This window comes from Homo sapiens, chromosome 3 (assembly GCF_000001405.40).
Source record: "Homo sapiens chromosome 3, GRCh38.p14 Primary Assembly".
Lineage (NCBI taxonomy): Eukaryota > Metazoa > Chordata > Mammalia > Primates > Hominidae > Homo > Homo sapiens.
The window spans coordinates 5,104,938-5,119,604 of NC_000003.12; positions in this window are offsets into that span (position 1 = coordinate 5,104,938).

Consider the following 14,667-nt stretch of genomic DNA (forward strand, 5'->3'; position numbering starts at 1 on the left):
TGTCAGTGATAACACATTCCTCTTTGCCTGGGGTGCTGCTCCCACCACTCCCTACCTCTTTGGTATACCATTGCCCCAGAGAGGGTTTAAAGTACATGGCAGTGGAAAATAGAAAAAGATAAAAAAACTATTGTCTGATCTAGCGGTTTTCAACTGGTGGTTATTTTGCCCAACCTACCATCCCCCTCCCCCTCCTGGGGGTATCTAGCAATGTCTGGATATATTTTTATTTGTCCCAACTAGAAGCGGGACGAGGTGCTACCAGCACCTAGTGGATACAAGCCAGGGATGTTGCTCAGCATCCTGCAGCGCATAGGATGGCTCCCAGCCATGCATAATTGTCCGGCCCCAAACGCCAATAGTGCCAGGTCCAGAAAACCTGATCTTGACATTTTAATCACAGGATGCGCAGGAAGCACTCTTTAACTTTGGGTGACAAAGGCCTAGGGTGGATTCCCAGGGCCTGTTGTTGTAGACTGTAAACTCTCAGAAGGAGGGGATTATGTAGGTCATTTTCTGGGTAGCACGCCTGTCAAGGGAACACAGAAAGGAAGCTTATGCACTAGGCATTGGAATCTCAGCTGCGAGGGGAAAGAACAGTATCATTTACACAGCCCCTTCTGTGGGCAGAGCACTGTGCTGGGAGATTTTGTTTGTTGCTGCATTCGACTCTCCTGATAACCCTGAGAGGTACCTATTGGTATTCCCATTTTAGGCTCAGGGAGGTGAAGCAATATATCAAAGGTCAGAAGTGGGAGAATTGAGATGCAAACGCTCACCTGCTTGATGTCAAAAATGCACGCTTGCTTGCTTTTACCCATCAAACTACACCACTGATGGCTGGGTGCAGCCGCTCCTACCTGTAATCCCAGTAGTCTGCGAGGGTGAGGTGGGAGGATTGCTTGAGCCCAGGAGTTCAAGACTAGCCTGGGCAACATAGTGAGATCCCCCGACTCTACAAAAAATAAACATATTAGTATGTGTGTACTAATTTTGTATGTACTAATTTTAGTATGTATGTATTAGTAGGTATGGTGGCTCTCACCTGTAGTCCCAGCTACTTGGGAGGCTGAGGTGGGACATCTCTTGAGCCTGGGAGGTGGAGGCTGCAGAGAGCCAAGATCACACCACTGCACTCCAGCTTGGGTGACAGAGTGAGACCCTGTCTCAAACAAAAAAACAAACAAACAAAAACAAAACAAATAAACAAAAAAACCCTACACAACTGACCAGTAATCAGATCCAGCAAGAAGCAACTATGACCTTGACCAACCTGCCCACTTGAAAAAAAAGTTTCTATCCTGTACTTCTATGTTCCTTTTTTCTATTGTTCTCTGTACTTTGTTGCATTTTCTTTCACTTTCCTAACTTTGTTTCTTTCATAGATAGACTTGTTTGTGTTTTGATTACTTAGATCTATTTTAGATAAGATCCTTACCAGTGCACTTGACAGGAACCCAGATCCAACTAACTAGAGAGAGAGATTGATGGTATCTTTTTTTTTTTTTTTTTTGAGATGGAGTATCCCTCTGTCATCCAGACTGGAGTGCAGTGGCACAATCTTGGCTCACTGCAACCTCCACCCCCTGCAGGGTTCAAGCGATTCTCCTGCCTCCTGAGTAGCTGGGATTACAGGCATGCGCCAACATGCCCGACTGATTTTTGTATTTTGCATGGAGACGGGGTTTCACCGTGTTGGCCAGGCTGATTTTGAACTCCTGTCCTCAAGCGATCACCCACCTCGGCCTCCCAAAGTGCTGGGATTATAGGCGTGAGCCACTGCGCCCAGCCAGTGGAGTCATTTAAATGAAAAATTCAGAACAGCTTCAGGTCCAGATCAGTCAGGGTGCTCCACCAAAATAACACCAGAAAACTTTCTCCTCTGCTAAATGGTCGCGTAGGTGTTTCTAGTTACAATGATGACCCTTGTCTTAGTGTTTATGCCACTTGATGTTCCTTTGTTTCCTATAAATATTCAAAACCATAGACTGTCAAAATGGAAAGAGAATTATGTCAGAGATGTGTGGGTGCAGCCAGGCACAGTGGTTCACCCTATAATCCCAGCACTTTGAGAAACTGAGGTGGGAGGATCATTTGAGCCCAGGAGTTTAAGACCAGCCTGGGCAACATAATGAGACCTTATCTCTACAAAAAAGTCAAAAAAGGAGCTGGGTGTCATGGCACGCACCTGCAGTCCCAGCTACTTAGGAAGCTGAGGTGGGAGGATTGCTTGAGCCTGGGAAGTCAAGGCTGCAGTGAGCTGTGGTCATGTCACTGCACTGCAGCCTGGGTGACACAGCAAGACCCTGTCTGATTTTGAACTTCTGTCCTCAAGTGATCCACCCACGTCATCACTAAAACAATTAAATTAAATTAAAAATAACAGAGATGAGTAGGTGGAATACAGGGAATTTTTAGATGAAACAATTCTTTATGACACTGTAATTGTTGATACATAACATTCTACATTCGTCCAAACCCATCGAATATACAATGCTGAGGCTGAACCCCATTGTAAACTATAGACTTTAGTTAATAATAAGGTAGCAATATTGGTTCCTCAGTTAAAACAAAGGTAATTTGGGAAGCTATGGGGCTAGAGGAAGAGTACATTGGAACCATCAGTACTATCTGCTCAATTTTCTGTAAACCTGAAACTTCTCTAAAAAATATAAAGCCTATTTTATTTTATTTTATTTTATTTTTGAGATGGAGTCTCACTCTGTTGCCCAGGCTGGAGTGCAGTGACACAATCTTGGCTCCTAGTAACCTCTGCCTCCTGGCTTCAAGCGATTCTCCTGCCTCAGCCTCCTGAGTAGCTGGGATTACAGGCATTCATCAACACATGCCCAGCTAATTTTTTTTTTTTTTTTTTTTTTTTTGAGATTGAGTCTCACTCTCTCACCCAGGCTGGAGTGCGGTGGCACGATCTTGGCTCGCTGCAACTTCTGCCTCCCAGGTTCAAGCAATTCTCCTGCCTCAGCCTCCCGAGTAGCTGGGATTATAGGCATGTGCCACCATGCCTGGCTAATTTTTATATTTTTAGTAGAGACGGGGTTTCACCATGTTGCCCAAGCTGATCTTGAACTCCTGACCTCAGGTGATCTGCACACCTCAGCCTCCCAAAGTGCTGGTATTACAGGCGTGAACCACCATGCCCGACTTACACAGGGTATTTATTTTTTATTTTTATTTTTTGAGACAGGGTCTTTCTCTGTCACCCAGGCTGAAGTGCAGTGGCACAATCTCGGCTCACTGCAGCCTCCTTCTGGGTTCAAGAGATTCTCCTGTTTTTTTTTTTTTTTTTTTTTAGCCTCTTGAATAGCTGGGATTATATGCACATGCCACAACACCAAGCTAATTTTTGTATTTTTGGTAGAAATGGAGTTTTGACATGTTGGCCAGGCTGATCTTGAACTCCTGACCTCAGGTAATCCATCCGCCTCAGCCCCCAAAGTACTAGAATTACAGGCATGAGCCACCATGCCCAGCCTATAATGGCTATTATAAAGAGAGAATTCTTATCTCTACCATGCAGGAATCCCTTCCTCTTATCTCATTTCAGTCAGGTTGCTATGAAATGGGAAGGTTTTAGAGATAAAAGGTTCTTTAATTTTATCTTATCCAAACTCTTCAGTTCATAAATAAACTGAAGCCCAGAGAAAGGAAGTGACTTGCTGAAAGTCACACAGCCATTTAGTTTTCAAAGCCAAGAATTTTTTTTGAGACAAAGTCTTGCCCTGTCACCCAGGCTGGAGTGCAGTGGTGCGATCCTGGCTCACTGCAAACTCTGCGTCCTGAGCACAAGCGATTCTCCTGCCTCAGCCTCTTGAGTAGCTGGGATTACAGGCGCATGCCACCATGCCTGGTTAAGTTTTGTTTTTTTGGAGAGACGGGGTTTCACCATGTTGGCCAGGCTGGTCTCAAACTCCTGACCCCCTGACCTCAGGTGATCCACCCACCTCAGCCTCCAAAAGTGCTGGGATTACAGGCGTGAATCATTGCACCCAACCTGAGAACTCTTTAATTCAAGACACGGCTTTTCTTCCAGCAGTGTGGTCTTTTTATTTCCTGCACAGGACTCTTCACACCACTCTACTTTGCACTGAGTATCTGTTTTCCACCTATGGAATTCTCATATGATTGGTTGTTCTTAAAATGGGGGTGACTAGCTCAATTTTTAAATAATGAAGAAGAGGCGGGGCCTCGTGACTCATGCCTGGGATCACTTGAGCCCAGGGGTTTGAGGTTGCAGTAAGCTGTGATTATACCACTGCACTCAAGCCTGGGCAACAGAGCAAGATCCTGTTTCTGAAAAGCAAAATAAAATAAATAAAAATAAAATAATGGGCCGGGCACAGTTTCTCATGCCTGTAATCCCAGCACTTTGGGAGGCCAAGGTGGGCAGATCACTTGAGGCCAGGAGTTCAAGACCAGCCTGACTAACATGTCTCTACTAAAAATACAAAAATTATCTGGGACTGGTGGTGTGTGTCTCATAATCCTAGCTACTTGGGAGGCTGAGGCATGTGAATCACTTGAACCCGGGAGGTGGAGGTTGCAGTGAGCTGAGATCGCACCACTGCACTCCAGTCTGGGTGAGTGAGACTCTGTCTCAAAATAAAAAAGAAAGAAAGAATGATGAATGTTCCTTCTAAAGAGAATGTCCTAATTGAGTCTTGCTTCCCTTTTCCTGAAGGCCAAAACTCTTCCTTTAAAAGATGGAACTGACATTCTGCTCCTTGCAGATTTTGGGGAGCACCTGTAGTGACATCCACAGCTAATGAAAAACTCTGGCTCTCTAATCGACTTGGCCCAAAGCAGAAATGTCCTGTAGATAAGGCTCAGGTGCTGTCAGTTTCAGATGCTACTAGGTTGGTAATCAGGCCAGTGAGAACCTATGCAATGTGTCACATTTATTTCATTCTTTGGAGCCAAAACAATGATCACCTTAGACAAATGCAAAGGTAATAATAAAACAAATGCCTGAGAGATGAGATTTCAGGTACCCCAGGCTGGCTCACTCATTTAAAATGATTTTAGTAATTTAAGTAGAAATGGTTACTGTCCTTAAGAAGATTATGACTTAGCTGGGTGTGGTGGCTCACACCTGTAATCCCAGCACTTTGGGAGGCCGAGGTGGGTGGATCACGAGGTCAGGAGATTGAGACCATCCTGGCTGACACGGTGAAACCCTGTCTCTACTAAAAACACAAAAAATTAGCTGGGTGTGGTGGCACGCGCCTGTAATCCCAGCTACTTGGGAGGCTGAGGCAGGAGAATCGCTTGAATCTGGGAGGTGGAGGTTGCAGCGAGCCAAGATCGTGCCACTGCACTCCAGCCTGGGTGACAGAGCGAGACTCTGTCGCTAAATAAATAAATAAATAAAGATTATGACTTAAACTCGCATCTCTAACTGTAACATATCCCTTCTCTGTGCCTCAGCTTTTCACTAAGTAAAACTAGAATGGTCTTGGAGTCATTCAGCTGTGATGCCACAGAATTCTACCTTTCTTACATAACAGACACAAAGCAAATACATGAGTCAATCTTATCTCTCACCCTTGTCCTTCCCCATCTACATTCCCAGGGCTCTGGGATTCCTGACCCTATAAAGGATGCATCAATGGGTCCGTGTGTCTCAGCACATGATCCTCAGTTCCCATTCCTGTAACTTAAATCTAGGCAAAGTTCAAAGGGAATAGCCACCCACATGACTTTGTACACTATTCCAGCGACTTCAGCAGAAAATACTTCCTCAGCTAAAACATCAGATAAGGGTGGTAACCTTACCCATATTTTACAGATGAGAAACTAAGCCCCTGAATTGTTGATCATATGTCCTAAGTCACTATGTTCCAGAAATAATGACTAGGATTTAGAGAATATTAACGCTGTGCTAGGCTGTTTTTTTTTTGTTGTTGTTGTTTGTTTGTTTAGATAGAGTCTTGGCCGAGAACAGTGGCTCACACCTGTAATCCCAGCACTTTGGGAGGCTGAGGCGGGTGGATTACTTGAGGTCAGGAGTTCGAGACCAGCCTGGCCAACATGACGAAACCCTGTCTCTACCAAAAATACAAAAATTAGCCAGACATGGGGGTGGGCACCAGTAATCCCAGCTACTCGGGAGGCTGAGGCAGGAGAATCGCTTGAACCTGGGAGGTTGAGGTTGCAGTGAGCCAACATTGCACCACTGCACTCCAGCCTGGACAATAGAGTGAGACTCACCCTGAAAAAAAAAAAAAAAAAAAAGATGGAGTCTCACTGTAGCCCAGTCTGGAGTGCAGTGGTGCACTGTTGGCCCACTGCAACCTCAACCTCCCAGGTTCAAGCGATTCTTCTGCCTTAGTCTCCCAAGGTAGCTAGGACTACAGGTATGTGCCACCATGCCCAGCTATTAATTTTTGTATTTTTAGTAGAGATGAGGTTTCACCATGTTGGCCAGGGGGGTCTTGAACTACTGACCTCAAGTGATCCACCCACCTGGGCCTCCGAAAGTGCTGAGATTACAGGCATGAGCCACCAAGCCCGGACTGTGCTAGGCTATGTTCTAAGAGCTTGATATGAACTCATTCATTTACTCTTCACAATAATCCTATGAGGCAGATAACAACGTTTTCTCCCTTTATAGTAAATGGAGGCACAGAGAGGTTAAGCAACTTGCACAGTTCATACAGCTGCTAGGTAGAAAAGCTGGTAGAAGGCCGGGTGCAGTGGCTCATGACTGTAATCCCAGCACTTTGGGATGCTGAGGCAGGGGGATTACTCGAGGCCAGGAGTTCAAGACCAGCCTGGCCAAAATAGCAAAACCCGGTCTCTACTAAAAATACAAAAAATTAGCCAGACATGGTGGCACGTGCCTCTGTAGTCCCAGCTACTTTGGACACTGAGGCACGAGAATTGCTTGAACCAGGGAGGCAGAGGTTGTAGTGAGCTGAGATCATGCCACTGAACTCCAGCCAGGAAAGAGGAGCAAGACTCTGTCTCAAAAAAGAAAAAAAAAAGAAGAAGAAGAAAGAAAGGAAAAGCTGGTATGAAAATCAGTCATTTTAACTATGTAGACCATATTCAGGATAACTTTATCATCCTGCTTTTTATTGCTTTATTTAATGTAATTTTTAAAAAACCGCTGGCATGGCTGGAATTATAATTTTATTTTATTTACTCCTCATTCTAACAGTACGTTAGGTATTATCAGTAGTGGGGTGGTAAATATCTAACAATCAACTCTCTAGGGGACAGGAAATACTGATTTGTAGTGTTTGCCAATTTCTGTGGTGTAAATATTTCCACTGTGGCCAATTTCAAGCTACCAATGTGACATCAGTGAACACAGAGTTGAGATGTTCAGTAGCTCTCCATTACATGACATTTCCATTATACAGATGCACTACCCATAAATAGCTACAGGAACATAGATAATAGCAAGCTACAGCAAAATAACTAGGAAATGATGAGTTTTTAGTATTTATTGCCTGTATATACTTATTTATTTTAGAGACTGGTCTCCCTATGTTGCCCAGGCTGGTCTTGAACTCCTGGCTCAAGCAATCCTCCCGACTTGGCCTCCCAAAGTGCTGGGATTACAGGCGTGAGCCACTGCTCCTGGCTGCCTTTATTTTTATTTTTTATTTTATTTTTATTTATCTATTTATTTTTTGAGACAGAGTCTTGCTCTGTCACTCAGGTTGGAATGCAGTGGCATGATCTCGGCTCACTGCAACCTCCGCCTCCTGGGGTCAAGCAATTCTCCTGCCTCAGCCTCCTGAGTAGCTGGGTTTGCAGGCACCCACCGCCACACCCCGCTAATTTTTGTATTTTTAGTAGAGATGGGGTTTTACCATATTGGCCAGGCTGGTCTCCAACTCCTGACCTTAGGTGATCTGCTCACCTCGGCCTCCCAAAGTGCTGGGATTACAAGCGTGAGCCACCGCGCCCAGCCTATTTTTATTTATTATTATTATTATTTTTTGAGACAGAGCTTTGCTCTCGTCACCCAAACTGGAGTGCAATGGCAGTGGTCTTGGCTCACTGCAACCTCTGCCTCCTGGGTTCAAGCGATTCTCCTGCCTCAGCCTCCTGAGTAGCTGGAATTACATGCGCCGGCCCCTATGCCCAGCTAATTTTTGTACTTTTAGTAGAGATGGGATTTCGCCATGTTGTCCAGGCTAATCTCGAACTCCTGACCTCGGGTGATCCGCCTGCCTCCACCTTCCAAAGTGCTGGGAATACAGGTGTGAGCCACTGTGCCTGACCTGCCTTTATTTTTATTTTTTTTTAAATTTTTTTTATTTTATTTATTTATTTTTTTTTATTGATCATTCTTGGGTGTTTCTCGCAGAGGGGGATTTGGCAGGGTCATAGGACAATAGTGGAGGGAAGGTCAGCAGACAAACAAGTGAACAAAGGTCTCTGGTTTTCCTAGGCAGAGTGTTTGTGTCCCTGGGTACTTGAGATTGGGGAGTGGTGATGACTCTTAAGGAGCATGCTGCCTTCAAGCATCTGTTTAACAAAGCACATCTTGCACCGCCCTTAATCCATTTAACCCTGAGTGGACACAGCACATGTTTTAGAGAGCACAGGGTTGGGGGTAAGGTCATAGATCAACAGGATCCCAAGGCAGAAGAATTTTTCTTAGTACAGAACAAAATGAAAAGTCTCCCATGTCTACTACTTTCTACACAGACACAGCAACCATCCGATTTCTCAATCTTTTCCCCACCTTGCCCCCTTTTCTATTCCACAAAACCGCCATTGTCATCATGGCCCGTTCTCAATGAGCTGTTGGGTACCTCCTCCCAGACTGGGTGGTGTCCAGGCAGAGGGGCTCCTCACTTCCCAGTAGGGGCGGCCGGGCAGAGGCGCCCCTCACCTCCCGGACAGGGCGGCTGCCGGGCGGAGGGTCTCCTCACTTCTCAGACGGGGCGGCCGGGCAGAGACGCTCCTCACCTCCCAGACGGGGCTGCGGCCGGGCCGAGGTGTTCCTCACCTCCCAGACGGGGCGGCGGGGCAGAGGCGCTCCCCACATCTCAGACGATGGGCGGCCGGGCAGAGACGCTCCTCAATTCCTAGATAGGATGGTGGCCGGGAAGAGGCGCTCCTCACTTCCCAGGTGGGACGGCGGCCGGGCAGAGACGCTCCTAACTTCCTAGATGTGATGGGGCTGGGAAGAGGCGCTCCTCAATTCCTAGACGGGATGGCGGCCGGGCAGAGACGCTCCTCACTTTCCAGACTGGGCAGCCAGGCAGAGGGGCTCCTCACATCCCAGACGATGGGCGGCCAGGCAGAGACGCTCCTCACTTCCCAGACGGGGTGGCGGCCGGGCAGAGGCTGCAATCTCCGCACTTTGGGAGGCCAAGGCAGGCGGCTGGGAGATGGAGGTTGTAGCGAGTGGAGATCACGCCACTGCACTCCAGCCTGGGCACCATTGAGCACTGAGTGAACCAGACTCCGTCTGCAATCCCGGCACCTCGGGAGGCCGAGGCTGGCGGATCACTCGCGGTTAGGAGCTGGAGACCAGCCCGGCCAACACAGCGAAACCCCCGTCTCCACCAAAAAAATACGAAAACCAGTCAGGCGTGGCGGCGCGCGCCTGCAATCGCAGGCACTCGGCAGGCTGAGGCAGGAGAATCAGGCAGGGAGGTTGCAGTGAGCCGAGATGGCAGCAGCACAGTCCAGCTTTGGCTCGGCATGAGAGGGAGACCGTGGAAAGGGGAGGAGAGAGGAGAGAGGGGAGAGGGGAGAGTGGAGAGCGGAGAGGGGAGAGGGGAGAGGGGAGAGGGGAGAGGGCCTGCCTTTATTTTTAATAAAATGTATTTAACTGTACGTTAAGTGAATAAAGGGAGCTATTGAGTAATGCTTACATGTTCTCATTTTTGTAAATAAGAGACTCTCCCTGGGCATGGTGGTAGGTCCCAGTAACCTGGGAGACTTAGGTAGGAGAATCCCTTAAGTCCAGGAGTTTTAGTGCAGTTTAGGCAATATAGCCTAATATAGACCCAGTCTTTAAACAAAATCATAAAGAAACAAGGCCCAGGCGCGGTGGCTCACGTCTATAATCCCAGTACTTTGGGAGGCCAATGCAGGCAGATCATGAGGTCAGGAGTTCAAGACCAGCCTGGCCAACGTGGTGAAACCCCGTCTCTACTAAAAATACAAAAATTAGCTGGGCGTGGTGGCGGGTGCCTGTAATCCCAGGTACTCAGGAGGCTGAGGCACAAGAATTGCCTGAACCCTGGAGGCAGGAGTTGCAGTGAGCTGAGATCCTACCACTGCACTCCAGCCTGGGTGACAGAGTGAGACTTTGTCTCAAAAAAAAAAAAAAATCATAAAGAATTAGAAGCCTGGGCAACATACCAAGAAGCTCTCCCTACACAAAATTAAGAAATTAGCTGGGTGTGGTGGTGCACACCTGTGGTCCCGGCTACTCAGGAGGCTGAGAGGGGAGGATGACATGGGCCCAGGAGGTCAAGGCTGCAGTGAGCTGTGATGATACCACTGCACTCCAGCATGGGGTGACAGAGCAAGACCCTGTCACAAAAACAAAAACAAAACAAAACAAAAAGAACCAAAAAACTCTTTACCCCTTTGTATCTGTTTGCGAGGGCTGCTGTAATGAAGTACCACTAATTGGGTGCTTTAAAACCACAGAAACTTATTGTCTCTCAGTTCTGAGGGTTAGAAGTCTAAAATCACAGTGCCCCAGAGCCATGCTCTTTCTGAAGCTCTTGGGGAAAATCCTTCCTCTCCTCTTCTGGCTTCTGGTGGTTTGCTGGCAATCCTCGTTGTTCTCTGACTTGCAGCTGTAACAACTCAATCTCTGCCTCGGTCATCCATGGTATTCTCTCTCGTGTGTCATGTGTCGGTATTTCTTCTCCTCTTCTTAAAAGGATGCCAATCATAGTGGATGGAGGACACACCCTATTCCAGTATGATCTCATCTTAACCAATTACATCTGTAGTGACCCTGTTTCAAACAAGGTCACATGCTGAAGTACTGGGAGTTACGACTTTAATATCTCCCCTTCCCTCCCCTCCCCTTCTGCCTTTCTCTCTTTCTTTTCCTTCCTTCCTTCCTTCCTTCCTTCCTTCCTTCCTTCCTTCCTTCCTTCCTCCCTCCCTCCCTCCTTCCCTCTCTCTTTCTCTCCCTTTCCCTCTCCCTCTCCCTCTCTCTCCTGACCTCTGGTGATCCACTTGCCTTGGCCTCCCAAAGTGCTGGGATTATAGACATGAGCCACCACACACCCGTCTTTCCCCTCTCCCTCCCCCTCCCCCTCCTCCTCTCCCTCGCCTTCCTCTTCCCCTTCCCCTTCCCCTTCCCTTCCCTTTGTATTTTTTAATTAGAGACAGGGTCTCACTTTGTTGCCCTGACTGGTCTTGAACTCTTGAGTGCAAGCAATCTCCCACCTCGGTCTCCCAAATCCTGCAAGGATTACAGGCATGAGCTACCACATCCGGCCTTCAATATGTCTTTTTTTTAAGGAGGGAGGGGGCACAATTCAACCCCTAAAACCCCCTTACAGTCAATTTGCCACAGTTGTGCCATAGTGAGCTGCTGCTGCTTCTTTTTTCTTTTTAAATAATCAATAGACACAGAAAAACGAACTAAAAATATCATTTGGATCACTCTCCTGGCTTCCCATCACACTGAGAGTAAAATCCAAGGTAGGCCCACCATGCCAACTTTCAATCTGCTCCCTTCCTCCTTCTCCATCCACATCTGTTCCAACTCCCTGCTTTACTAATCTGTGCCAGCCACGCCGACTGTCTTTCTCTGCCCAGAGCATTCTGAACTCCTTCTCCCAAACTGGGTGTTTGCTGTTCCTTCTGCCTGGAATGTGCTTCCACCAGATGTCTGCCTGGATCTCTTTCTCACTTCCTCTAAGTCTTCTCACCCAGGGCCACCTGACCTGAAGTAGAACAGAGTCCTCTCCTGTTCCTTCTCTTGTTCAGCTTTCTTTATAATGTTCAGTACTACATGCTATTATGTCTCAGATTTATTTGTTTATTTTATTTTTTTGAGACAGGGCCTCACTTTGTTACCCAGGCTGGAGCACAATCATGGCTCACTGAAGCCTCTGATCCCTTGGCTCAGGTGATCCTCCTGCCTCAGCTTCCCAAGAAGCTGGGACTACAGGCATGCGCAGCACGCCTGGCTAAGTTTTTAAATTTTTTTGTAGAGACAGGGTCTCATTATCTTGTCCAGGCTGGTCTTGAACTCCTGGGCTCAGGTGATCTCCCTGCCTCAGCCTCCCAAAGGGCTGGGATTATAGGAGTGAGCCACCAGGCCTCATTTCTTAATTTGTTTATTATAGCATATGTCTCCCCCACTGGATTGTAGGCTCCATGAGGGAAGGAATTTTTTTTAAATTTTAAAGCCTTGAAGATATTTTTAATTACTGTTAAAGTAAATTATATTGTGGCCAGGCATGGTGGCTCATGCCTGTAATCCCAGCACTTTGGGAGGCCGAGGCAGGCAGATCACTTGAGGCCAGGAGTTCGAGACCAGCCTGGCCAACATGGTGAAACCCCATCTCTACTAAAAATACAAAAATTAGCTGGGTGTGGTGGCATGTGCCTATACTTCCAGCTACTCAGTGGGCTCAGGCAGGAGAATCACTTGAACCTGGGAGGCAGAGGTTGCAGTGAGCTGAGATCGCACCACTGCACTCCAGCCTGGGCGACAGAGCAAGATTCTATCTCAAAAAAACAAAAAGTAAATTGTATTTTGAACAGACAACCCATTTACATGTTTGAAAAGTCAAAGTTTGCCTCTAGGGGTATGTTGTAGAATAACTAAGATAGGCTGGGCACAGTGGCTCACGCCTGTATTCCCAGCACTTTGGGAGGCCCAGGTGGGTGGATCACTTGAGGTCAGGAGTTGGAGACCAGACTGGCCAACATGGTGAAACCCCATCTCTAATAAAAATACAAAAAAATTAGCCAGATGTGGTGGCACACGCCTGTAATCCCAGCTACCTGGGAGGCTGAGGCAAGAGAATCACTTGAACCTGGGAGGTGGATGTTGCAGTGAGCTGAGATTGTACCACTGCACTCCAGTCTGGGCAACAGAATGAGACTCTGTCTCCAAAAAAAAAAAAAAAACAGTAAAATAAAATAGGATAAATAAATAAATAAAAGAAAAAGAGAAAAGTCAAAGTGGTCTAAAAGTTATCTAGACAAGTCTCATTTCCATTTCTGCCACCGGACATCCAGTTTTTCCTACCCCCATAGGAAACCATTTTTATTAGTTTCCCAGTATTTCTTTATGCAGATACCATACACATATGCTTATATATGTATATATATGTATAAGCATATGCTTATATATGTATATATATGTATAAGCATATGCTTATATATGTATATATATGTATAAGCATATGCTTATATATGTATATATATGTATAAGCATATGTGTTATTATTTTCTCACCTTACATTCCAAATATCATTACGTACACAGTCTGAACCCTGGTTTTTTTGTTTTTTTGAGACAGTCTTTTTTTTCTGGGAGAGGGAGTCTTGCTCTGTTGCCCAGGCTGGGGTGCAGTGGCATGATCCCAGCTCACTGCAAGCTCTGCCTCTCGGGTTCATGCCATTCTCCTGCCTCAGCCTCCCAAGTAGCTGGGACTACAGGCGTCCGCCACCACTCCCGGCTAATTTTTTGTATTTTTAGTAGAGATGGGTTTTCACCATGTTAGCCAGGATGGTCTCGATCTCCTGTCCTCGTGATCCACCCGCCTCAGCCTCCCAAAGTGCTGGGATTACAGGCATGAGCCACCTCGCCCAGCCTTGAGACAGTCTTAATCTGTCACCCAGGCTGGAATGCAGTGGTGCAATCTCAGCTCATTGCAACCTCTGCTTCTTGGGTTCAAGGGATTCTCCTGCCTCAGCCTCATGAGTAGGTGGGATTACAGGCATGCACCATCACGCTTGGCTAATTTTTGTAATTTTAGTAGAGATGGGGTTTTGCCATGTTGGTTAGGCTGGTCTCGAACTCCCGGCCTCAAGTGATCTGCCCCCCCCCCCCCCAAAGTCCTGGGACTACAGGTATGAGCCACCGTACACAGCCATGAACCTTGATTTTTTTTTGTTTCTTGAAAATATTTCCTGATCATCATTCCTTATCAGTTGACAGATAACTTTCTTCTTCTTGTATTTTTTTTTACAGCTGCATAGTATTCCTTTTTGGGGACACATCCTGGTTAATCAGTTCCCTATTGATAGACACTAATTGCTTCCCATTGTAAACTAAAAATAAAATCCTGGGCTGGACCCGGTGGGTCACGCCTGTAATCCCAGTACTTTGGGAGGCTAAGGTGGGTGGATAATGAGGTCAAGAGATCGAGACCATCCTGGCCAACATGGTGAAACCCCATCTCTACTAAAAATACAAAAATTAGCTGGGCTTGGTGGCTCGCCTGTAGTCCCAACTACTCGGGAGGCTGAGGGAGGAGAGTTGCTTGAACCCGGGAGGCAGAGGTTGCGGTGAGCCGAGATTGCACCACTGCACTCCAGCCTGGCAACAGAGCGAGACTTGTCTCAAAAAAAAAAAAAAAATTCCTGGGCTGGGTGTGGGCATGGTGGCTCACGCCTGTAATCCCAATACTTTGAGAGACTGAAGCAGGAGGATCACTTCAGCCCAAGAATTCAAGGCTGCAATGAG